The sequence below is a fragment of the Homo sapiens genome, chromosome 19 (genome assembly GCF_000001405.40).
Source record: "Homo sapiens chromosome 19, GRCh38.p14 Primary Assembly".
In the NCBI taxonomy this organism is placed as follows: domain Eukaryota; kingdom Metazoa; phylum Chordata; class Mammalia; order Primates; family Hominidae; genus Homo; species Homo sapiens.
This window is the reverse complement of record NC_000019.10, coordinates 20,306,775-20,333,006: the sequence shown is the minus strand read 5'-3', so window position 1 is coordinate 20,333,006 and position 26,232 is coordinate 20,306,775. Positions and strand designations below refer to the sequence as shown.

Sequence of the window (26,232 nt, the reverse complement as noted above, 5' to 3'; positions counted from 1 at the left end):
CCAATACAAAACTATATTTTGCCCATTGTCAATGCTTCTATTTTAATGTAGCACTGGAAGTATTGGCCAAAGAATTAGACAAGAAAATAAAAAAATCTTTTGAACCTGAAGAAAAACAAAATGCTGCTGTTTGTAGATCATACAATCTTATGTTTAAAAACCATAAACAGTACATTAAAACCTGTCTAAACTATTAAATACACTCAGTAAATTAGCAAAATATAAAATTAGCATTTAAGAATACGTATGGTTTCATACACTTAAAACAAACTATCTGATAAAATAGAGAATGAGGCTGGGCACAGTGGCTGACACCTCTAATCCCAGCATTTTGGGAGGCAGAGGCGGTTAAATCATTTGAGGTCAGGAGTTCGAGACCAGTGTGCCAACATGATACAATCCCGTTTCCACTAAAAATTCAAAAATTAGCTGGGTGTGGTGGTGGCTGCCTGTAATCCCAGCTAGTTGGGATGCTGAGGCAGGAGAATAGCTTGAATCTGGGTGGCGGACATTTCAGGGAGCCGAGACTGAGCCATTGCACTCCAGCCTGGGCAACCAACAGTACAAGACTCCATCTCAAAAAAATAATAAAGTAGAGGAAGACAAAAACTCAATTACTAAGGCATTAAATAATAAATTTCTGAGAAAAAATTAACCAACTGGGTAAAAAATCTTCACAATAAAAAAATGAAAAAAATTGGAGAAGATCCAAATAAATTTTAAACTATTTTATGTCTATGGATTGAAAGAATAAATATTACTGAAGCACCATATTATCTAATGTGATCTATAGATTCAATAAACTTCCTATCAAAATTGCAATGGTATTTTTTTACAGTAATGGAAAATACAATTCCAAAATTTACATAAAATTAAAATAAACTTTGAATAGCCAAAGCCATCTTGAAAAAAAAGAACAAAGCAGAAGGATATCATACTAATTTCAAACTATATTTCAAGATGATATAGTAATGAAAACAGAATGGACTGTAAGGAAAAATGAACAAAAAAATGCAACAGAAACTACTACTCTCACACATTTCAGACTTGATGAAAAAAAAAACTTAAAAAATAGTTTTAGTCTCTAAAAAGCATGCAGATATTTATGTGCCCCCAAAACAATGAAAAAGCAGCCAGATTGTGCAGTCTCTTATATGCCATGATGAGGACTTTGGCTCTCACTGTGGACTTGAAGGAAGCTCACCAAAAGAAAAGCAGAATTCTTAGAGAATTTAAAATCATAAAACAGAAGATGCCTCTCTGTGAAAGCAAAATTAAAAAATAAACAACAACAATAACAAAAAAAAAACACGAGCTGCCCAGGAACTATTTTCTTTGGAACACAGCTTCCCAAATCACATTTTAAGGACCGGCTTTCTCTTTGACCTTGGGACCTCTTATCTGTGTTGTCTATTGTATTGATTTTCACTCGCACCTAGCTGGGGGTTTGGCAGTCATCTCATGTCTCTTCATAGTCAAAGGTTTTTTTCTTTTTCTTGCTCCAGACAGGTGATCAGGTCTGACTTCCAGACAACGATACCTGTTTTTTTGTTTTGTTTTGTTTTGTTTTGTTTTGTTTTGTTTTGTTTTGTTTTGTAGACGGAGTCTCGCTCTTTGGCCCAGGCTGGAGTGCAGTGGTGTGATCTCAGCTCACTGCCAGCTCCGCCTCCCGGGTTCACTCCATTCTCCTGCCTCAGCCTCCCGAGTAGCTGGGACTACAGGCGCCCGCCACCCCGCTCGGCTAATTTTTTTTGTATTTTTAGTAAAGACGGGGTTTCACCGTGTTAGCCAGCATGGTCTCGGTCAGGATGGAGATGGGGTTTCACTGTATTAGCCAGGATGGTCTCGATCTCCTGCCCTCGTGATCCGCCGGCCTTGGCCTCCCAAAGTGCTGGGATTACAGGCGTGAGCCACTGCGCCCGGCAACAGTACCTGTTTTATTAAAAAAAAAAAAAATAACATGAATCATGCTCATATTCTCCAAGTACAGGTTAGTAATGTGCTCAGCAGAGAGGATATAATAAAATATTCTAGTAAATTAATACCAAAATATTAATTTCTAAAGGAAATTTCTAAATATTTAGAAAATACTTTCAATTTGTAGGTTTTTTAATTTTACTACCTGACTACCTGGTACTACTGAATCAAACATTAGATTTTCAGGTAGGGGCAACATATTTTATGCTACTAAATTGCTGGAATTACCACTAATTTAGAGTGAAAAATACAGCTCAACTCAGGAATGTGGAAAGTTTGGATTAAGATGAAACATTTTGAAGAAATTCTTTTCTAAATGAACAAATTTTGAAAGTTTTCTGGAAAAAGGGGATCTGAAACTCTTTTATGCCAAGAATAAATTACTAAAAAACATTCCATAAAATAAAGAAATAAGGCCGGGCACGGTGGCTCACGCCTGTAATCCCAGCACTTTGGGAGGCCGAGGCGGGTGGATCATGAGGTCAGGAGATCGAGACCATCCTGGCTAACAAGGTGAAACCCCGTCTCTACTAAAAAAAAATACAAAAAATTAGCCGGGCGCGGTGGCGGGCGCCTGTAGTCCCAGCTACTCGGGAGGCTGAGGCAGGAGAATGGTGTGAACCCGGGAAGCGGAGCTTGCAGTGAGCCGAGATTGCGCCACTGCAGTCCGCAGTCCGGCCTGGGCGACAGAGCGAGACTCCGTCTCAAAAAAAAAAAAAAAAAAAAAAAAGAAATAAAATCTTTAGCGTATATTATGAATTATGTATTAAAGTTATCCTCACCAAAGAAGACCAGGTTTCTGTAGTTCTCTAACATCACGTGTGTATATAAATTCTGCCATGCAGTGTCCAGGCAATGCCACTCCTCCAGAGAGAATTCTATGGCCACGTCTCTAAATTGCTATGGTACCTGAAACACACACACACACACACACACACACACACACACACACACACATATTTACTAAGTAACCATGAGCGACATTTTTAATTTGACTTAAGGTGAAATTAGAGAGTAAACAGAACTGGTTCTGACTTATAGGACTGACTAAAATTATCCAATAAAATAATTTTCAACACAGAAATATTCTCTAATGTATTCTCTAACTCTAAGAAAAAAGAGTAGCGTAAGATCCACAACATCCGTTCATATACTTTTCTAGATAATAAAGTATAAAATTAAAAGCATAAACATGAACATGTACACTTTTGTGTGCTATATTTACATCATACGGAAGTAGTTGTGAATATTTTCCAAATGGAAAAGACATGTTGAGTTGGAAGACATCTCTCAATTTTTATTTATTTATTTATTGAAACAGATTTTCGCTCTTGTTGCCCAAGCTGGAGTGCAGTGGCCCAATCTCAGCTCACAGCAACCTCCGTATCCCAGGTTCAAGCGATTCTCTTGGGTCAGTCTCCCAAATAGCTGGGATTACAGGCATACACCACCACACCTGACTAATTTTTTTTTTTGTAGAGATGAGGTTTTTCTCCATGTTGGTCAGGCTGGTCTGGAACTCAAGACCTCAGGTGATCAGCCCACCTTGGCCTCCGAAAGAGATGAGATTATAGGCATGAGCCACTGTACCTGACTGATTTTTTGAATTTCTAACAAGCTCACTAGTAATGCCAATGTTTTTGGCCTAAGAAGGATATTTTGTCATTCAATAAATGGAAGAGCCTTTGTTTTTCCCACTTTTTCTGGCCTGTAAACAAAGATAAGAGCCTTAATTTTCCAGAAAAAAATGTAGTAAAATATAAGAAAAGGGCCGGGTGAGGTGGCTCATGCCTGTAATCCCAGCACTTTGGGAGGCTGAGGCGGATGGATCATGAGGTCATGAGATCGAGACCATCCTGGCTAACATGGTGAAACCCCGTTTCTACTAAAAATACAAAAAATTAGCCAGGCGTGGTGGTGGGCGCCTGTAGTTCCAGCTACTAAGGGAGGCTGAGGCAGGAGAATGGTGTGAACCCCGGAGGCGGAGGTTGCAGTGAGCCGAGACCACACCACTGCACTCCAGCCTGGGCAACAGAGTGAGACTCCTCAAAAAAAAAATAAAAAATAAAATAAATAAATAAATAAGAAAAAAGAACAGCTTCCAGATTAAATGTGATGGTTTATGCATATCAGCTGCAGAAAGATACTTAATAATGAAGAAAAAATAATTATATAGTGAAAACATCTGTCAGAGAGCTATTTCACCAAATGAATCATTACCCATTAACCACATGAAAAAAATTTTTATGATATACTAATACACAAGAACACAGCATCAGTGTTGAAATATTCCTCCCAAACAAAGTAAATTAAAATCTGAATTTAACCATAAAGAAAATCAGTTTTATGCAAACTTCAAAACACAGGTAACTCCTATGTTCTGTAATTTTTAGTAGGAATTTTAAGTAGGCTTCATTAAGCACCCTAGAGAGCAGGAATCTCCTAATAATTTTTTTCAGAACTTTCTGGGTAATAAATGCCATCCCATTTAAATACGCATTCTCTTAATCCTGTTCTGCTTAGAGCAAATGGAACACATGATTGAAGCCTCAACATTACATGTTCTCTATCTGTACTAAGGACCACAGTTTTCCTCAATAGAAATCTTGAGTATCCACATCTTTCCATGTTCAACAGCCACAAAGGAAACATTTTTAATATTGTGGATCATAAATTCTTGCTGAGAATTCTGTGTGGCATATAAGAAGCTATGATGTAGAGAATAAAGAGAAGGCTCTGGGATAAAGAAAAGAAATATTTTTCAGAGATCCTTGACTATTGTAAGAATTTAGAGAAGTAGTTAAATCAAACCCCTTAGGAAGAAAAAACACAAGTAGAGAAGTAAAGATTTGCAAGTACTAAACGCATGGCATTCAAGGAGGCAGAGTGGACACAGCTTTTCATTTGGGACATGTTTAACTGAAGAAAAACCTTTTTTTTTTTTCTCCTCCGGATTTCTTCTGAGATTCTCTGGACAAATTACACCTGCATCTGGAGAACATGCCCTTAAAGGTGGCACTACTACATGTTTACCTGCTAGCATGACATCAACTGACAGAAAAGACAGAAAAAGCCCACCCATTTCTGTCCATTAAAGCAGAAGAGATTTGGGAACAATACACTCCTCCATGAAGATAAAGATATAAGTTTCTTCTTTCCTGTACTCAGGTGCCCTCCCCTGCCACAGACACCAGCAATTTCTGCTACAGTAATACAAATATCCACCACACTGACCTGTCCCTACCAAGTCAAAATAGAGTAGGCCCAGTGACCATGCTTTAGTGCAAAGGTGGAACTTAACTCTCATGAATGTATTTTGAAGCCTTCAAACCTGATTCTGTCCTTACCTTAGAGTCACATGAGGCACTTCATTAAAACAACGTGGATGCTTCCACACACAACAATAAACAGAAGCTGCGGGGAGGGCACAATAGATTCTGCAAATTGGCCATGTGACCCTAATAAGAAGCCTGAGCTGATAATCACTAAGCTAAGCATTGCCTCTCAAGCTTTAACGAGCTTATAAATCACTTGGTAATTTTACCCACTTTATGTAATGTGATTGCAGATTTGAAAAGGGTCCATGAATGGGGGTTTTAAACAAGTCCCCTGTCAATGCTGATGTTGCTCCCCATTGGCTCATTATTACCATTAGTTACAGAAGCAGACACAGCACAGGGTCCCTTACACTCAGCACTCTTGTCACAACCAAATACTTCTGATACAAACAAGGACAATCCATCTGTATCCTAAAGTTATATATTCTTTGCCGACTCTGTAAAGTTTACAGAAGAAACAGAAGGCAGCAATGTCTGAATAGGTCTGGATTTAAAAAACAACATGTACACATGTACTAATGCAATGTTATTAAGCAGGTACTATATGCTCAAGGGTATGATACAGAGCACTGTGTTGGGCATAACACATTATGTGATTTAATTCTCATAACATCCTAGGAGCTGGTACTAAGGATTTAATAATTTCCACTATTTAGAAAAAGGGCCCAGCATTTTCATTTCTTCAGTTATTTAGAGAAAATTTTATTCTGTTTGTATTTACTTTTTTGTGACTTGTGCAGAAACTACTGGATCTGCAGGAATAAAAAAAAAGTTGCTAAATAGAATGTCTCTGCAACCACTGGTTTTCATTGAAAATTTAAAAACTAAGACCCTCAAATACATACTTTATTTTTCCCATTTATCTGCTTTAGGATTTCAGGAAATTGTGAGCAGCAGGTCTAGAAAGGCAGCAGGATTCACCAGCTAAAACTCTGATCTTTTCTAATCAATTCTGCAAGGCAAGACTCCATGGTAGGGCCAGACCAAAATAAGGCCTCCAAAAAGGGTGAATCTGAACAGGTCTGGGGCAGGGTGAGGACCCTATGTAGAATTCTGTTCTCTATGCCACTGGGGTACTTCCAGTTTTGCTTTTTCTAAGCTTACCTAAAAGAAACTTAAATCCCAGAGTTTCTGTAATTTTTATCTTTTCTAGCCACTGTCCTGTTAAATGTATACTATGCATTAATATGCAATTTAAACAAATCCCTTAAGGTTTCCTAGGGTAATTTTATTGGAAAATAAATATGTACAGTTAGCAATGTTAAAAAAAAAATAGAAACTATACAGCAGTGTGCAGTCGCTCAGGCCCATAATTCCAGCATTTTAAAAGGCTGAGGCAGGTGGATCACAAGGTCAGGAGTTCAAGAACAGCCTGACAAAAATGGTGAAACCCAGCCTCTATTAAAAATACAAAAATTAGCTGGGCACAGTGGCAGGGCCTAGTAATCCCAGCTACTTGGGAGACTGAGGCAGGAGAATCACTTGAACTCTAGTGGCACAAATTGCAGTGAGCTGAGATAGTGCCTCTGTACTCCAGCCTGGGCAACAGAGACTCTGTCTAAAAAAAAAAAAAAAGAAAGAAAGAAAGAAATTATAATAACAATTCTTCTGTTAATAAATATCTCTTCAGTGGTAGACATCAGAAGTCACAACAGCATAAAGAAAGTGGCCTAAATAAAGCCCAAGATTTTGGATGCGTCTATATATTGTACCAACCATATGATGCATAATTCAATTATTTATGCAGTTGCTAGTCTAGACTAAATGTTTCTGAATTGTAGGAACCATGACTGCTTTCATGTATTTTTTTAATGGCAAAGTTGTTTGTCAGAAATATTTATTTATTTACAGAAATAGCATTGATTATTGATTAGATATATATTATTATGGTTTAGGGTATGAGATATAGCATCCAATGTGGCATTATTAGTTTAATATATATCTACTTGTGGCAATAGCAAACAGTTTCAAGAGATGAATACATATTTTAAAGGGGAAGAAAGACAACTGCACTTTCATTTCAACGTCTGAGTTTGATAACCAAAAGGACTTGCAATTTTTAGACAAAAATGTTCTATCCCCCAAATCTCAAGACCTGGATACAAAATGTGGAGCTGCAGATTTAGAGCCTGAATGGCTGGAGTAGGAGCAGGTGTTACCTATACATTTGTGAGCAATTTACCAAGAGAAAAAAGAGGAAAGTGGAGATTCTCATGTCTGCATATGTACTCAATGCACACATGTTACTCAGATTAGGATTGTGGGCCCCATGGTCTCTGAATCAGTTTCAGGTCTGAAGATACAAGAGTCATTGAGATAAAATGATTAATTGTTGCCCTGTGAAGTTAGTAGAAATGTGGTCTAGTCTCTCTAGAAGTAACTATAGAGGACTATAGATACCAAATGGGCAGAGACACAGTTCTGCCTGCATATTTAGGGGACAGCATGCACTTTGTTGCACAAGTGTGAGTTGACTGGAAGTCTGAGAGGGAAAGTTTCCTCTAAAGTAAATTCTGGTTGGCACCTTATGTGTTTATATCATGCCTGGTAATTCTAGGCAGTGTTTGGAAACAATAATTAAAAGAACAATTTTCTCCAGCCCCAAAAAAACTCCACAATAGTAAAACAGAAAGAAAACAGTTTTATTACACCATTAAACTTGAATGTGACATGCATCATAGTCAATCTGCTTAAGAGACTGCAAAGAAAGATGATCACCATAATTAGTCCACAAGTAAAATTTACAGCACCACGTCATACACAGTTCATCCTAAATTCACAGGCAGGTTGAAGAGGCCATCTGTGTATGCTAATTGCTTATATTCAAGGACAAACTTTTTCCATCTTCATAACAGAAGGTAGTTTAGCAGCTTGAAGCCAGGTGCCTGCTGAAGGTAGGTTTTCACTAGCTACAAAAGTGGTTGAATAGGGTTCTATCATTTTGGCTATTTACATTTTGGAGCAGTGGCTCTGCACTCCCTGACACTGGGTTATAGCACTCCTGCTTGCTTTCTCCTGGTTGCTAGTGTCCTCTCTTGGCCTCTACCATCTGCCACTGAGGCACAGCCGAGAGCACAGCTCACAGTTTATGTGAACCCCATTTGCTACAGCAGCACTCTAGAGTCACATTAGATAGTAAAGCCTGAGCTGCAGGAGGAGAGCCTGCAGGCCTCGTGGGTAGAATTGCACCTTCACAACAATGGGAATGTGAGTGGAGTTTCAGCCCCAATTTTTATTTATAATGGTGACATAAAAAAAATACTGCTGAATTTCCAGCATGAGTCCAGATAGAGATAGCTCCAGAAATTCTCACTGTGACAGCCCAGCTCATTCAGACACCATGGGAAACTAACAGCACTTCTGAAACAGACACCCAAAGCACTGGAGAGAAAACCAGATCTCTATCTGAGCAAGATTATTTTGAGAGAAGTTAAAAAGATCTTATGAAAAAGCTCAGATTAGATATAAGATTGATCAAGTCAGCCAGAAAATAGTCCCCTAAAAGCAATTTCTCTCTAACCACCCAAAGTGCACAGCTACTCTCAGCATGAGAAACATGAGCATTACGAAGAAAGGGGGCAGATTTTCACAAGAATTTTATAGTTTTTTTTTTTCCATCTCTGCTGCTGTCTCATTTTCTAGCCACTGAATGGGGGTTCTACATTGAAATATACCTGAAAACTTCCAACAACACTTTCTGATGAAGAAATAGAATCTGACCATGTTCTTATGGTGGAATACATTAGAACTTACAACATAGTTAACAGGAGAACTATTATGGTTTTTGGGTGGCCAGATTACCTGTCTTTATTTCTTTTGTAATAGCAGCATTCCAATTTAGTGAAATAAAAGATGTTAAATTATGTTTACTTATAATTATCCCTATTGAATAAAGTAATAAACATGTCAGACTAATATCTACTGTAGCAATTTGGTAGCAATTTTTTTTGGATATTAGATATAAATATCTGAGTATGAATAATTTTAGTAAACTAGTAGTAATGTATGTAGCATTCTTAAAAATTGCAACTATACTTCAGTTAAAACAATTTATATTTCAAAAGTGTAAATAACAATATTAAAATAAACATTCAAGTGATTCATTCAAAGTAAGTATTGTGGATTTTTATTCATACTATTGTAGAAAATACTGTTTATTTGGCTGGGCGTGGCAGCTCACGTCTGTAATCCCAGCACTTTGGGTGGCTGAGGCGGGCACATCACCAGAGGTCGGGAGTTCAAGACCAGCTTGATCAACATGGAGAAACCCCGTCTCTACTAAAAATACAAAATCAGCTGGGTGTGGTGGCTCATGCCTATAGTCCCAGCTACTAGGGAGGCTGAGGCAGGAGAATTGCTTGAACCTGTGTGGCTGAGGGTGAGCCAAGATCATGCCATTGCACTCCAGCCTCAGCAACAAGAGTGAAACTCTGTCTCAAAAAATAAAATAATAATAATAAATAAAAGAAAATACTGTTTATTATTAGCCAGGTGTGGTGGCAGTCACCTGTAATCGCAGCTACTTGGGAGGCTGAGGCAGGAGAATCGCTTGAACCTGAGGGGCAGAGGTTGCAGTGAGCTGAGATCATGCCATTGCACTCCAGCCTGGGGGACAAAAGCAAGACTTCATCTCAAAAAAAAAGAAACTTTATGGCTCATGCCTGTAATCCCAGCACTTTGAGTCACTGAGGTGTGTGGATCACCTGAGGTCAAGAGTTCACAATCAAGCTGGCCAATATGGTGATACCCCATCTCAACTAAAAATAGAAAAATTTAGCCAGGCATGGTGGTGGGTGCCTGTAATCCCAGCAATTCAGGAGGCTGAGGCAGGAGAATTGCTTGAACCCGGGACCCAGTGGTTGCAGTCAGCCAAGATCATACCAGTGCACTCCAGCCTGGGCAGCAGAGTGAGACACAGTCTCAAAAAAAAAAAAAATACTATTTAGTGTATATGAATGCAGGTTGTCTACAAACACTACACATAACTATGCTAATTGCTCTGAAGTAATAAATAGAAAGCAAGGTACAACTACAGACTCCACTGTTCAGTTTATGCACTGAACTGTTCTTGCTTTTGCAATATAAGTACTTCAGTCTGCAAATATTGGATAATTACCTTGGATAATCAGGTTTCTTTCAAAGAATCTTAGTATCTTTTAGTCTTTATCATTCTGTATAGCTAAATTTAATCCTATCTTTGTGCTAAGCTTTTGTGTGCTCTTAAAATGAGCTTTTATCTAAACAAATCTGTGTTTACTTTAAAGGACTAAAAATGGACTGGGCATGGTGGTTCATGCCTGTGATCCCAGCACTTTGAGCAGCTGAGGTGGGTGGATCACTGTTGGTAGAAGAGCTGAGGCAGGACTAGCTTGTTTGTCCTAATGTAAAAGGGTCTTGGAACAAGTCCTGTGTCCAGGGTCTAAACCCCCTCGTGGCCTCTGGAACACAAAGCTCTGTGCCAAAGGGTGGAAGGCTGCCTTGCCACACCATAATCTAAGCCCAGGGCATAAAACCCCTCGTGGCTCGGATGGAATCCAAGGCTCAGGGCATAAAACCCCTCCTGGCCTCTGGAATGGCACAGACTTGTTGATTCCTTGTTTCTTGCTCTCCCAGGCTCATAAACATGTTCTCCATTATGTCAGGTAGCACAGCATATTACGTATGCATCAAAGAAAATGTGAAACCATCACAGCTACACTTGATGCACTGCTACCTTTCTAGCCCGAAGTCCTCACGTCCTCACCTGTTTACCCCACATCCGCACGTCCTTACCACCTGCTTATTTGTCTGATCACTGATAAATAGTGTGGGCTTCCAGAGCTCGGGGCCTTCACAGCCTCCATACTAGCATTGGCCCCCTGGACCCAATTTAAGTACTCTTAACTTGTCTTGTCTCAATCCTTTGACTCCGCCAGACTTCATAGCCCACATGGCCTGGTGTTGGGCCTGATCACCCCAACATTTCTGGTGCCCAATGTGGGACTATGAAGACCCCAGTGAAGGAACGCTAGAGCTTGTGGAAGCAGAGGACATATTGTCAGAGGACACCCGAGGATGACTAAAAGAAGCTCAGTGCTAAGCTGGGCACTCAGAAGAACCAGGGTAACAATGGGACAGAATGAAAGCAAACATTCTGCTTGTTTAAACTTCTAAGGCATTTATTATGGAGAGGAGATGTGAAAGTTAGTACACAGAATTTATTGACACTCTTTAGTACTGTAGAGCAGTTTTGCCCATGGTTCCCAGAACATGAGACTATGGAGTTGGATGAATGGAAAAGAATTGGCAGAGAATTTAAAAAGGCATATAAAGACGGAGCCAAAATTCCAGTTTCTGTTTGGTCAGTGCAGGCATTGATAAAGGCAGCTCTTGGGGCACTTCAAACAGATGACAAGGCAGATTCAGAAGAGGAAGAGGCAGACTAGTGTAAAAAACTAACTTCAGATTCTGAATGTGAGGAACAGCAACTGGAGGAAATTAAAGAAAACAAAGGGAAACTGAAAAAGGTATGTTTTACTAGCCCATTGATTCCACCTGCTGAATTAAGTGAATGGCCATATCCTCCCTCTCCCCATAATGGGCAAGAAAATGAAACAGCTGAGAAACTTACCACTCCTGTAGTTGCAACATTAAAACCTGGAGCGATTGGTGGTCCTATACGAAATTCGATTCAAAAAGCTAGAGCTGAAGGTGACTTTGAAGCATGGCAATTTCCAGTTACTATAACCCAACAAGAAGGATGAAATATAGCTAATTGGGCCACTTTTTCTTTTAAGTTGTTAAAGGAATTCAAACAAGCCATTAGTCAATATGGGCCAAATTCTCCTTTTGTAAAAACTTTATTAAAAAATATGGCTCTTGACAATAGGTTAATACCGTATGACTGGGATACTTTATACCATATGACTGGGATACTTTAACAAAATCTGTTCTCACTCCATCTCAGTACTTGCAGTTTAAAACTTGGTGGGCTGATGAAGCTCAAACTCAGGCAAGAGAAAACATACAAGCACAGCCACCTGTGCCTGTTTGTTTTGAACAGTTAATGGGAGTTGGCCCTAATTGGGGGTGATTAGAAAATCAGGCAGTGATAGAGAATGTTGCCATTTCTCAGCTGCATGCTGTGTGCTTATGGGCGTGGGAGAGAATAAATGTTACAAGAGAAAAATATCCTTCTTTCAGTTCTGTCCTACAAGGACCTAAAGAATCATATGCTGATTTTATTCCTCAGCTCCAAGAGGCTGTGCATAAAGCTATAACTGACAAAACAGCTCAAGATGTTACAATACAGCTTCTTGCATATGATAATGCCAATGCAGAATGTCAAGCTGCTATGAGACCTATGAGAGGGAAGGCTCATTTGGCTGAATATATTAAGGCTTGTGATGGCATTAGGGGTAATTTACATAAGGCTCCTCATTTAGCTCAAGCTATGGCTGGACTAAAGGGGAAAAAACATGCCCCATTTCTCAGTCTCTTTTAATTGTGGGCAATTTGGATACACAAAAAAGGAATGTAAAAAAGGAAATCAGCAGGCAAAGACTACTACCGGTAAGCAACAAAAAAGTCCCAGTATCTGCCCCCGATATAAAAAAGGGATTCACTGGTCAAATCAGTGTCATTCTAAATTTAGTAAAGATGGGCAGGGTGGGGGGAGGAGGGAGGGATAGCATTAGGAGATATACCTAATGCTAAATGATGAGTTAATGGGTGCAGCACACCAACATAGCACATGTATACATATGTAACAAACCTGCACGTTGTGCACATGTACCCTAAAACTTAAAGTATAAAAATAATAACATTTAAAAAAATAAAAAATAAAAAAAATGTGGACAACCTCTTTCGGGAAACAGGAAGGGGTGCCCAACTTGGGCCCCTCAACAAACCGAGGCATATCTGGCACAGCCACTGCCCTTACAAATGTACAACAATTGTCCCCCACCACAGCAGGCACTGCTGCCATAGATTTTTGCAGTACAGTTCCCATTTTCTTACTTCCTGGGGAGCCACCAAAGAAGGTCCCCATGGGAGTTAGGGGCCCTTTACCCTCAGGAAGAGTTGGTCTATTGCTTGGAAGGTCTAGTTTAAATTTAAGGGGTGTCACTGTTCACACGGGAATAATTGATTCTGATTATAGCAGAGAAATTCAAATAGTTATTACTTCCTCAACTCCATGGTCTGCTTCTCCAGGAGAAAGAATTGCTCAATTATTACTACTACCTTACACAAAGCTAGGAAGTAGTACAGTGAAAAGAACAGGAGGCTTTGGTAGTACGAATCCAGCAGGAAAGGCTGTCCATTAGGTTAATCAAGTTTCTGACAAAAGACCTATTTGTACAGTAACCATTCAAGGTAAAGACTTTAAAGGATTAGTAGATACTGGAGCTGATGTCTCTATTACTGCTTTAAATCAATGGCCCTGACAATGCCCAAAGAAAAGGCTTCCATGGGTATTGTTGGCATAGGGACTGCCTCAGAAGTTTTTCAGAGTTCTTTAATTTTGCCATGCCAAGGGCCAGATGGCCAAGAAGGGACAATTCAACCTATTATTACACATATTCCTCTCAATCTATGTATGGGGTAGAGACTTATTACAACAATGGGGTGCTGAAATATCTATTCCTATGGAACAGTATAGTAATAACAGTAAACAAATTATGAGAAAAATTGGACATCTCCTGGGGAAGGGATTAGGAAAAAATGAAAATAGCCAACCAGAACCTTTAGAACTAAAAGGGCAAATAGATAGAACTGGATTAGGGTATCATTTTTAGGAGTGGCCATTGCTGAGCCTCCAGCTCCCATTCCCCTTGTTTGGTTAACTGCCAAACTTGTTTGGGTGGATCAATGCCACTGAAACAGGAAAAACTGGAGGCTTTTATAGAATTGGCACAGGAACAATTGCGAAAGGGACACATAGAGCCTACCTTCTCTCTTTGGAATTCTCCTGTGTTTGTTACTAAGAAAAAATCAGGTAAACGGAGAATGTTAACAGACTTGAGGGCTGTTAATGCTATATTTCAACCCATGAGCGCACTGCAACCAGGGCTGCCCTCTCCAACTATTATTCCTAAATACTGGCCTCTAATAGTGATAGATTTAACAGATTCTTTCTTTACCATTCCTTTAGTGACCCAAGATTATGAAAAATTTGCTTTTACTGTTCCCACTATAAATAACAAAGAACCAGCGGACAGATACCATTGGAAAGTATTACCACAAGGAATGTTAAATAGCCCAACTATTTGTCAAACTTATGTCGGAAAAACTATTAAGCCAGTTAGAGAACAATTTTAAAAAGTTATATTATCCATTACATGGATGACATTTTATGTGCAGCTGAAACTAGAGAGGAAGTAATGCTATGCTAACAACAGTTAGAAAAGTCTGTGACTGCAGCAGGATTAATCATAGCCCCTGACAAAATCCAAACCTCTACTCCCTTTCAATATTTAGGAATGAAAGTAGAACAAAGTACTAATAATCCTCAAAAAGTTCAAATTGAAAGAGATAATTTAAAAACTCTAAATGATTTTCAAATTTATTAGGAGACATTAATTGGATTTGTCCATCTTTAGGCATTCCTACCTATGCTATGTCTCACCTTTTTTCTACTTTACAAGCTAATTCTGACCTTAACAGTAAATGCTCCCTTTCTAAAGAGGCATTAGAGGAACTTCAATTAATTGAAGAAAAAATTCAACAAGCACAAGTGAAATGAATTGACCCTATGCAGCCATTACAGTTTTTAGTTTTTCCTACTAAACATTCACCTACAGGAATTATGTTGCTATGTGTGTCTTGCTTCACTTTTGTTAATATTTGCTTTGTACGTTTTAAAGCCCTGATGTTGTATACACATATATATATAGATAAATATTATAGTTACAGATTTCTGCTATATTAACTCACTTTATCATAATACAATATCAATCATTGTTTCATGACAGTATTGACTTAAAGCATATTATGTCTATTATAATTATGACCACCTCACTCAGTTGTGGTTGCTATTCTCATGGGATATACATCTTTTTCATTCTGTTACTTTATCAGCCTATTTGACTCATTGCTAAAATGAATCTTTTGTAGGCAGCATACTGTATGCTTTATAAAAAACTACTCAGGCATTCTATTTCTTTTTCTTTATATAATTTTACTTATTCATATATATATATATACATTTTCAGACTGAGTTTCACTCTTGTTTCCCAGGCTGGAATGTAATGGTGCTATCTCAGCTCACTGCAACCTCTGCCTCTTGGTTTCAAGCAATTGTCCTGCTGCAGCCTCCTGAGTAGCTAGGATTACAGGTTCCCACCACGATGTCCAGCTAATTTTTTCTATTTTTAGTAGAGATGGGGTTTCACCATGATGGCCAGGCTGCTCTTGAACTCCTGACCTCAGGTGGTTGCCTGTCTCGGCCTCCCAAAGTGCTGGGATTACAGGTGTGCACCACTGCACCTGGCCTCATTTATCATGGAGATAGGGTCTCACTCTGTCAGCCAGGCTGATTTGCTCAGTTCACTGCTGCCTGAACCTCCCAAACTCAGATAGATGATCCTCTCATTCAGCCTCTCAAGTAGCTGGGTTACAAGTATGTGCCATCACACCCAGCTACCTTTTTTGTATTCTTTATTGAGAATTCTGGTCTTGAACTCCTGGGATCAAGTGATCAGCCTACCTTGGCCTTCCAAAATCCTAAGATTACATTTCATTTTATTAAGTAGTTTAATTAATTTATATTTAAAATGATTGCTTAGGGAAATGATGTTGTTATTACTAGTTATACTGATATTGTTTTGTGTGTTTCTAGTAGTTATATTTTTCTCTTTTCCTTATTTACTTTCTTAACTTTCATTTAATTTTGTACTGGCATGATTTGATTATTTTTTGTTTTCTTTTGCATACTTTCTATAAATATTATCTTTGTAATCATTTTGACAGCTGGAAATGACATACATCTTAAAGTTAAAACAATATTTTTAAATTTCATAACAACTTCAGTTGAATACATAAACCATGCCTCTATATTTTCCAGTTTGTTATTGATATTAAAATTATTTTATGTGGTGTATCTCTCAGATGTATGTGAATTTACATATTTTTTATATTCTATAAAAGAACTTTAAAGGTTTTACATATCATCATTTTGGGGTTTTTTTTTGTTTGCTTTTTGAGATTGAATCTTGCTCTATTGCTTATGTTGGAGTGTAGTTGTTCAATCTTGGCTCACTGTAACCTCTGCCTCCTGGGTTCAAGCAATTCTCCTGCCTCAGACTCCCAAGTAGCTGGAAATATAGATACCTGCCACCAAGCCTGGCTAATTTTTTTATTTTTTAGAAGAGATGGCTTTTCACCATGTTGGCCAGGCTGGTCTTGAACTCCTGACCTCAGGCGATCTACTCATCTCAGCCTCTCAAAGTGCTGGGCTTACAGGTGTGAGCCCCAGTGCCCAGCCAGAAGTTACTTTTTATCTTACTATTCATAGCAATGCATATCGATACAAAGATTGACACATCTAGATATAAATGTACATAGGAAGACAAACACTCACATAGAGAATTAAATAAATATTTCTATATAAATATTTATACAAAACAAATTTCCCAAAAAACATTTTTAATCTTTTAGCATGTACTAAAGATGCTGATGTAGAATTACTTCTTTTTTCTTTTGCTAAATAACATGTCAGAATGGAACATATTCATACAATGTTTTTTATGTAAATATCAACAAAGCTTTATCTTCAAGGGCAAGACCACAGAAGCTGAAAATAAAGCCATGTACAACACATCTGTCCATGTTAGTATTTCAGCGCCCTGCATTTCTCCTCAATGTGTGCATGTTCTGTACACATCCACCATTTGGGTCCTGCCTTGACAAAGCCAGTCATCATTTAGATAATTGGATGATTGTATCCACCTGGGCTGAGCTACTTCGCTGGTTGGAATCATCTGAGCTGTGCAAATTGACTGATTGCAATCACCCGACTTCTGCTAATTTGCTTATTTGATTTACCTCAGCTTCAGGGTAGCTTACCGAGATGTCATCTGACTTTATTCCTGAGGCTTTTTTTTTGAGAGTCATATGCAGAAATAAACATTACGTAGACATACACGTGTGACTCATTTCATGTGTATATGTTTATCTAGCCACCTATTTTATATCTACATGTACAGAAAGAAGCCTATAAAATAAACTTGGTCAGAGGTTTTTCCAATTCCTTTACCTACAGGTTAGGTAATCAGCTACTGAGCTCAGTGAAGATTTATTCAAACCAAGCCGCACACCATGCCACTTTTTTTAATACAAATTTAACAATGTCTTTAATAACCTGGAACCTGGGTGTTTTTAAACCTGGTCTCATTAATCCAGCCCAGTGAAATTTTGTTCATCTATCTAGAAATTACCAGAAATGCTTGACAACAGTGGGCTGAGCCTTCCTCACAAAGAAGATTTGACCTGGGAAATAAAAGCCACCTGTGGCACTTCAGCGACTATTCAATATCACCCATTTGAAATGTGGCCAAGTACCATGTACCATTATATTTGCTTCCATCACCATCTGTCTTCTAAAAAGAGACATAGACTTCTTTTTCATTACCATAAATACCCAACTTCTGCCACAAAGACCGAAAGACAATAGTGTGATTTTACATCACACACTTTTGGAAATAAATACAGTTCTTGTTCGATGGAAGTTCTAAAGAGAAAGAATAAGTATTCTCATATTTAGGTTAGACCTTTGGACTGGGGCTGGTTCATCTCTGACCCTATGTACAACAATAAAAGAAAAGTCAACCCTGACATGGCAGTAAATAACTCCAATGGTCTTAGTAAATTTTCATCTTCCAGAAGTGCAAAACAAAGCCCAATGCTCCCTTTGAATATATTAACTGCAGCAGGATGTATATTAGAGCATTCCTCTATTTCTGTACTATTCTAGATATAGTAGTCTATAGAGAAAATATTTTTATACAGGTATGGAAGGTTCTGTATTACTGTTTGTAGCAATAGCTATCAATACTTCCACATTCAACATCTTTATTTTGTATGAATATAAATACAAAAATTGTTACAGCTTCATATATATATTTATATACACTTAGGTATGTGTATGAATATATGTACACATATGGTAGCTACATAAACACTCACAAACTTATATGAATGTATCTATGTAAATATTAATGTATACATACAATATTTTCCCACTTTTTAAAATATAGAGCATATACTAAGGATGCAGATGCAGAATTAATTGCCTTCTCTTTTGCTCAATAGCATGTCAGAATGAAACATAGCCATACAGTGTTGTTTATATAAACGTAAAGCTTCAGCTTCAGGTTTCAGGCCTTGTAAATAAAGTGACAGTAAAGCTGTGTTATACATACTGTCCAGGTTAGCATATAGGGCCCTGCATTTCTTCTTGGTGTTCATGGGCTATTTACATTTACAATTTTGGGCATACCTTAATGAATCTGTAGCCACTAGATAATTAGGTGATTGGGATCACCTAGACTGAGCTAATTGGCTAATTGAATTCACCTGGGTTGATAAAGTAGCTGATTGAAATCACCTGGGCTGAGCTAATTCGCTGATTGAAATCACCTGAGCTGAGTTAATCGGTGGTTTAAAATCACCTGTGCTAAACTAATCGGGTTATAAGATTCACATCAGCTGAGCTAACTGGCTGATTGGTGTCCCCTAGAAAAAGCTAGTTGGCTGTTAGAAATCATCTGGGCTAGTGCTCTGATGCAGGCTTTCTCCCTCGTCATCCTCCCTCATCGTTCTGTGTGCATTTTTCTCTATGTCCTGATCTTTCTTCTTGCACCTAGAAGTGGTGTCTGGGTGCAAATGTAAGCAGTGGTGGATCCAGAAATAAGAGCTTTGTGTAATAAGGTTCTTAAAACAGTCCTTTCTTACACGTGCCCGGTGCCAGACCCTCGGTCTTGGCCTTGTTCAGGAGCTGGGATATCTGCGCTTGGTGAAAATGAAATGAATTCCTGACCTAGGAATTCAGTATTTCCTCCTCACTCCAGCTAAGCACTCACTTTTTTTTTTTTGGTATGGAATCTTGCTCTGTCACCCAGGCTGGAGTGCAGTGGTGCGATCTCGGCTCACTGCAACCTCCACCTCCCGGGTTCAAGCGATTCTTCTGCCTCAGCCTCCTAAGTAATTGGGATTACAGGCATGCGCCACCATGCCCAGCTAATTTTTTTTTTTTTTTTTTTTTTTTTTTTTTTTTTTTTGAGACAGAGTCTCACTCTGTCGCCCAGGCTAGAGTGCAATGGCGCAATCTCGGCTTACTGCAAGCTCCGCCTCCTGGGTTCACACCATTCTCCTGCCTCAGCCTCCCAAGTAGCCGGGACTACAGGCGCCCATGACCACACATAGCTAATTTTTTTTGTATTTTTATTAGAGACGGTGTTTCACCGTGTTAGCCAGGATGGTCTCGATCTCCTGACCGCGTGATCCGCTCACCTAGGCCTCCCAAAGTGCTGGGATTACGGGCAAGTTTTTATTAGAGACGGGGTTTCATCATGTTGGTCAGGCTGGTCTTGAACTCCTGACCTCAGGTGAGCCACCCGCCTCAGCTTCCCAAAATACTGGCATTACAGGCGTGAGCCACCGTGCCCAGCCTAAACTCTCAGTTCTAACGTAGGGATTCAGGAATTGGGCATATGGCTTTCAGACTCCTTTTGCAATGTCACAATCCAGACTTTTTTTTAATGAAGGACACCCCGCAGTGGCTCGCAGTGGGTCCCGGTGCTGGCAGGAGCGTGCTGGCGAGCCGGCTCTGTCTTTATGCATCCTTCAGGGGTCCTAGGGCTGACTCCACCGGACAGCCCGTCCTGGGCCGTGTTAAGCACCTTTTGCAGAAATCGTATTTTTTTTTTTATTAAAACATCAAATCTGTGTTCCTGTAAAAAAAAAAGAAAAAGAAAAGTAAAGAAAAGAAATCACCTGGGCTAATCAGCTGGGCTAAGCTAATTTGTTGATTGGATTCTCCTGGGGAGTGCTAATGAGCTGCTTGGAATCCCCTGAGGTAAGCTAATTGGCTGATTTAAATTTTCTGAGCTGAGATAATTGATGCAGAAAAGTTGAACACTTGGCTGGGCAGTGGCTCACGCCTGTAATCCCAGCACTTTGGGGAGGCTGAGGCAAGCAGATCACTTGATTTCAGGAGTTCGAGACCACTGTGGCCAACATAGTGAAACCCCATCTCTACTGAAAATACAAAAATTAACCAGGCATGGTGAGTGCCTGTAATCCCAGGTATTGAGGAGGCTGAGGCAAAAGAATCACTTGAACCCGGGAGGTGGAGGTTGCAGTGAGCAGAGATTCTGCCATTGCACTTCAGCCTGGGTAAGAGTGAAACTCTGTCTCAAAAAAAGAAAAAAACAAAAAAAAATATGCATGCATATGTATATATATATATATATGTATATATATGTGTGTGTTTATATATATACACACATATATATACATATATATATATATATACTCTCAGAGGATAACTTGAAGTATTTTAGAGATGTTCTCTAAGAATCTAAAATTATTTTTACTTTTAGTTTCTATAAATATGTTTCTTAAGCATTTTTAATTTCCAAAAAAAATTTTTTTTTTTGAGATGGAGTCTCGCTCTGTCACCCAGGCTGGAGTGCAGTGGCACAAGCTCACTGCAAGCTCCGCCTCCCAGGTTCACGCCATTCTCCTGCCTCAGCCTCCCGAGTACCTGGCACTACAGGCGCCCACCACCACTCCCGTCTAATTTTTTGTATTTTCAGTAGAGACGGGGTTTCACCGTGTTAGCCAGGATGGTCTCAATCTCCTGACCTCGAGATCCACCCGCCTTGGCCTCCCAAAGTGCTGGGATTACAGGCATGAGCCACCGCACCCAGCCCTCAAAAAACTTTTAAATATATGTTGTCAGTTTAATTTTTCTGCGGAATTTAAATAGAGTCAAATTATACATATCAAAAAATCTACTTTTTTGGTAATAGATCAGCTTAATTTTTAGAACAAAGGTGTTAAACTTCACAAAATTTTATGCTGACCAATTTGATCAGTAGCCTCTTTCATACGACTGGGAGAGATGACACCAAGATGTAGCATTCATGTTGGGTGAGAGACTAAATCACTACCAGTAGCTAGATAATTTCTGTTTTACTAACAAATGTTGGTTTTCCTTTCTATATTTTCTCGTTATGTTAATAATGAAATAATAACTTTATCCAGGAAATTTCAAAAAACTTATTTTTAATCAGCCATAATAGTAAGCAAAGACAGAGAAATGAAGGTTTATAACAGTCATAATTTATATTTTAAAAGTAAAATACTTCTAGAAATAAAGAAGGAAAGGGAGAAAGAAATATACAAACAAATGAAAGGCAGCCTGGTCAACATAAAGAAAGCCTGCCTCTATTAAAAATACAAAAATTAGCCTGGTGTGGTGGCACACACCTGTAATCTCAGCTACTCAGGAAGCTTAGGCATGAGAATCACTTGAACCTGGGAGGCAGAGTTTACAGTGAGCAGACATCATGCCACTACACTCCAGCTTGGGCGACAGAAAGAGACGCCGTCTCACACAAAACGAAACAAAAACAAAAGAGAAGGAAAGAAGTGGATTACTCGCAATAGCTAAGGTATTAATCTAAGTGTCCATCAAGAAGTGAATGAAGAGAGAAAATATGGTGTATGTAAACAATGAAATGCTATTCAGCCCCTAAAGTAAGACAATCTTGTTATTTGCAACATTCATGAACCTGAAAGATATTATGCTAAGTAAAGTAAGTCAACACAGAAAAAAAAAAACAAAAAAAAATCCTTTTTTTTTTTTTTTTGAGATGGAGTTTTGCTCTTGTCATCCAGGCTGGAGTGCAGTGGCACCATCTCCACGCACTGTAACCTCCACCTCCCAGGTTTAGGCGATTCTCCTGCCTCAGCCTTCTCAATACCCGCGATTACAGGCATGTGCCACCACGCCCAACAAATTTTTATATTTTTAGTAGAGATGGGATTTCCACCCACCTCAGCCTCCCAAAGTGCTGAGATTACAGGTGTGAGCCACCACATTTGGCCTGGTTTTCTATTTTTTTTTTCTAAATTTACCAGTAATATAAAATTATTTGCTAAGAAGACTTATCTTATTCAAATGTTTTATGGGATTTCATTGACATTTAACTGTCTGAATTATTTGGAATATTGAAATTTTCCATGAACTCTAATTGAGTACTATAGATAATGTTTTAGTAAAAGCTTTTCTGAGGCAGAGTAAGATTTATAACATTTTATTATCATATGGAAGAAGTGTATTAACCATGTTTTCGGTAATCACTCTGAACACAGCATTCTCAGTTCCCAGTATAAAAAGTGAAGTAGAGGTTCCTCTTCAAAGACTTTCCTCCCCGTCTAATTAGGAATAAATAGTAACTTCTCTTAGAAGCAAAGTTTATTCAAAGACCTGTGCTAACATTCTTAAATATCTGCTAGCCATAACAAAAAAATCAATGGACTTTATGTTCTTAGCTTCCATAATTTAGCCTAAATATTTGCCTTGGCATGCTTATACTGGTCCAAGCAAGCATTAGGTCACAGCCTGTTACTCTTCCTTATTTGAAGGTGTTTTTACCTGTCTCAGCATTCCACAAGTTACTTCCTCCTTTCTTTGTTCTCCTCTGCATTTGCCTCCTTTAAAAAGTTCTAAGTTGGCCGGGCACGGTGGCTCACGCCTGTAATCCCAGCACTTTGGGAGGCCGAGGCGGGCGGATCACGAGGTCAGGAGATCGAGACCATCCCGGCTAAAACGGTGAAACCCCGTCTCTACTAAAAATACAAAAAATTAGCCGGGCGTAGTTGCGGGCGCCTGTAGTCCCAGCTACTTGGGAGGCTGAGGCAGGAGAATGGCGTGAACCCGGGAGGCGGAGCTTGCAGTGAGCCGAGATCCCGCCACTGCACTCCAGCCTGGGCGACAGAGCGAGACTCCGTCTTAAAAAAAAAAAAAAAAAAAAAAAAAGTTCTAAGTTGCTAAACAATCGGGAAAAATACAGAATGTGAAGTCTCTTTTCAGCCAATAAAAACCAAACATAAAAGTAGGGTGGACACATCAGGTTATAAATGACCCTGTCTCTTTTGTTCAGTGTACTCTGGTAGCAAAACTGCTGGTGAGTGTGCCCTTTTTGCAAAAAGAATGGCCTTGCTAAGAAAATTAAATTTATTTTCAAGTACTATTTCTTTATGGCACCAGAGAACAAGCATTTCTAACAACAGTATGGACACTGAGTAACTCAGGGGGAATTGGTATCTCTGTGAAGAGGCAGAAGAAAATGCTGAGTCTGGGTGCACCACAGTGCACAGCAATGCTTTCCACATGCACCTATTAGGGTGTTAATTTAATTAGGCTGTTATTTGCATAGCTAGATACTTACTAAATTTAGTCATACTATTTTTTTAGCAGCTAATGACACCTGATACCCATTAATTTTATACATTTGCTTTTTTGAAAAATAAATATTTTGATAATTTTCTCTAAATTGAGACTACATTTACAATCTTCAATTTTTCAGCGTTGAAGCAAATCAGAGTAGAGCAATGAGTGTATATAATCTGCATTTTTCTGCCTATCAAAATTCTTCCGGCTGGGCATGGTGGCTCATGCCTGTAATCCCAGCACTCTGGGAGACCAAGGTGGGTGAATGACCTGAGGTCAGGAGTTCAAGACAAGCCTGGTTAACATGGTGAAACCTCATCTCTACCAAAAATACAAAAATTATCTGGGCATAAGGGCAGGTGCCTGTTATCCCAGCTACTTGGGAGGCTGAGGTGGAAGATTTGCTTGAATCAGGGAGGTGGAGGTTGCAGTGAGATGAGAATGCACCATTGCATTGCAGCCTGGGTGACAGAGAGAGAATCCCTCCTTCATTTACTTGGAAACCCTGGGAAGCCACCTACAAAATATTCCCTTTGAATACTTTAGCCAGGATTTTAGATTTCAAAAGGTCAAAAACAATCATTGAGCAAAGCCAAAATCTTTTTGTTTCTTGTTAGTCATCTGGCCATTTCCATAAATATGGCAATTATGCCAAGCCTTTGAAAAGATGTGGTTTTGGTTAATTTTGTCTCATTTCAAATGTTTTCTCTAATTGTTACTTTGGTCATGTGACTCTAAAAGAAACTATCTACATAACTAATCATGCATTCAAAAAATCTTCATATTAAGGTGTTTACAATTTAATCATGTAACAGTACAGTAGAATCTTCTGTAATTAGAAGTTAATTATAAGTTCATTGTTTTAAAAGTTTTTCAAATGTAAAAACAAACAATTAGGTATGCTTTTTGAAGTAAGTTCAATTCTAGGACATTACCCACTGGTCTTCATGGTATTTCTTCAATGAATAGTGTAAACCTGGGTCGCCAGAATGGTGCAGACATGCTGATTGAAATAGAATGAGTTCAGCCTTGTTGGTAGACTATTGGTATCCCAGAGGCTGATCATTCACTACAGCTTACTAAATACTGTTCCATAATGCCAGTGAGCACTTTTACCCAGGTTACCCTTTTCCTCCCATTAATGTGGACCTGTTGTGGTCTCCTGTTTCTCTTAAGCTATCCCAGGTGAGAGGTGTTTATTTCTTGCATGAATGAGAGTCCTTTTTTTCCCCTCTGCCATACGATCCTCTTATTCTCCTTACTGGAATCAACATACAGGAGGCAGGAATGATGACAATAAACAAACATGTTTCCCGCCATATGGCCACCATAAGCAGCTTACATGTTCCACGAAGAAGTCACTGACTTTCAGGCCAGCAGGGGTGTTTTTCTGTGATGTGTCTCTTTCTCTTAAAAGCACCTCTGATTAAGTTTAGCACAATAAGGATAATCTCCATTTTGATAAACACAAAGTTAACACATGAGTAACCTAATATCATGAATGATTTCCCACCACAGTCACACATGTTTTTAAACTCAAGAGGAGAGTATTACACAGCAGGTGTGCAACAGACTGAGAATCCAGGGTATTATCTTAGAATGTTGTCTATCCACCTAAATAAACTTTTAAAATAGTATTTTGCCGGTCACGGTGGTTCATGCCTGTAATACCAGCACTGTGGGAGGCTGATGTGGGCATATCAAGAGGTCAGGAGTTTGAGACCAGCCTGGCCAACATGATGAAACCCTGTCTCTACTGAAACTACAAAAATTAGTCAGGAATGATGGCACGGACTGTAATCCCAGCTACTGAAAAGGCTGAGGCATGAGAATTGCTTGAACCCAAGAGGTGGAGGTTGCAGTGAGCCGAGATCATGCCACTGCACTCCAGCCTGGGCGACTGAGCAAGACTTCATCTGGGAAAAAAAAAAGTCTTTCTGCTGCTTTTGTTATCTACATAAACAAAGCTATCATCTGGATTTAATAATTAACTACTTTCCAGTTTTATTCACTGTGAATATTAACTAACATCTTTCTTCTGGCTTATTTTTCCTGTATGCACCATTTTATACATTCACACACACACAGAACAATAAAAATATATCCAATTATTTAATTTTGTTGAATGTTTATAAAGGTAATTGTTAAAAATTATTTTTTTTTCTGTTTGAAGAGGGGTTTTATTGTTGTACTCAAGAGTGTTGTTTCTGGAGACAAAGTTGTCTGTGCTTTAATAGGCAGATTCCGGGGAGAATCTGAATCATAAGCCTTAACAGTTTACATTAATAAACTGAATACAAAGCAGAAAGTATAGATTTGCTTTCAGCATTTTCAAGGTGTTTAGTTAGTCACCTAATTAAAATAATTTCCTTTGTTGCAATAATTGCTCTTTGCTTCTGAAAATGTGTACAAACTCATACTCAGACAAAAACACTCACTTTATATTTTTCTTACACCTAAGGTTTATCTTCAGAG

At 38.8% G+C, this 26,232-nt stretch overlaps 1 pseudogene, besides 2 other annotated features; it reads left to right on the top strand.

Moving 5' to 3' along the window:
• On the top strand, positions 8,439–9,015 carry BNIP3P19 (BCL2 interacting protein 3 pseudogene 19; annotated as a pseudogene).
• Positions 21,357–21,857: an enhancer, noted in NCBI's record as "H3K27ac hESC enhancer chr19:20421959-20422459 (GRCh37/hg19 assembly coordinates)". NCBI's record gives its function as "activates a minimal SCP1, AML or CMV promoter by ChIP-STARR-seq in primed H9 embryonic stem cells {active_cell/tissue: H9 hESC(primed)}" and the evidence as "EXISTENCE:reporter gene assay evidence [ECO:0000049][PMID:30033119]".
• Positions 21,858–22,358: an enhancer, noted in NCBI's record as "H3K27ac hESC enhancer chr19:20421458-20421958 (GRCh37/hg19 assembly coordinates)". NCBI's record gives its function as "activates a minimal SCP1, AML or CMV promoter by ChIP-STARR-seq in primed H9 embryonic stem cells {active_cell/tissue: H9 hESC(primed)}" and the evidence as "EXISTENCE:reporter gene assay evidence [ECO:0000049][PMID:30033119]".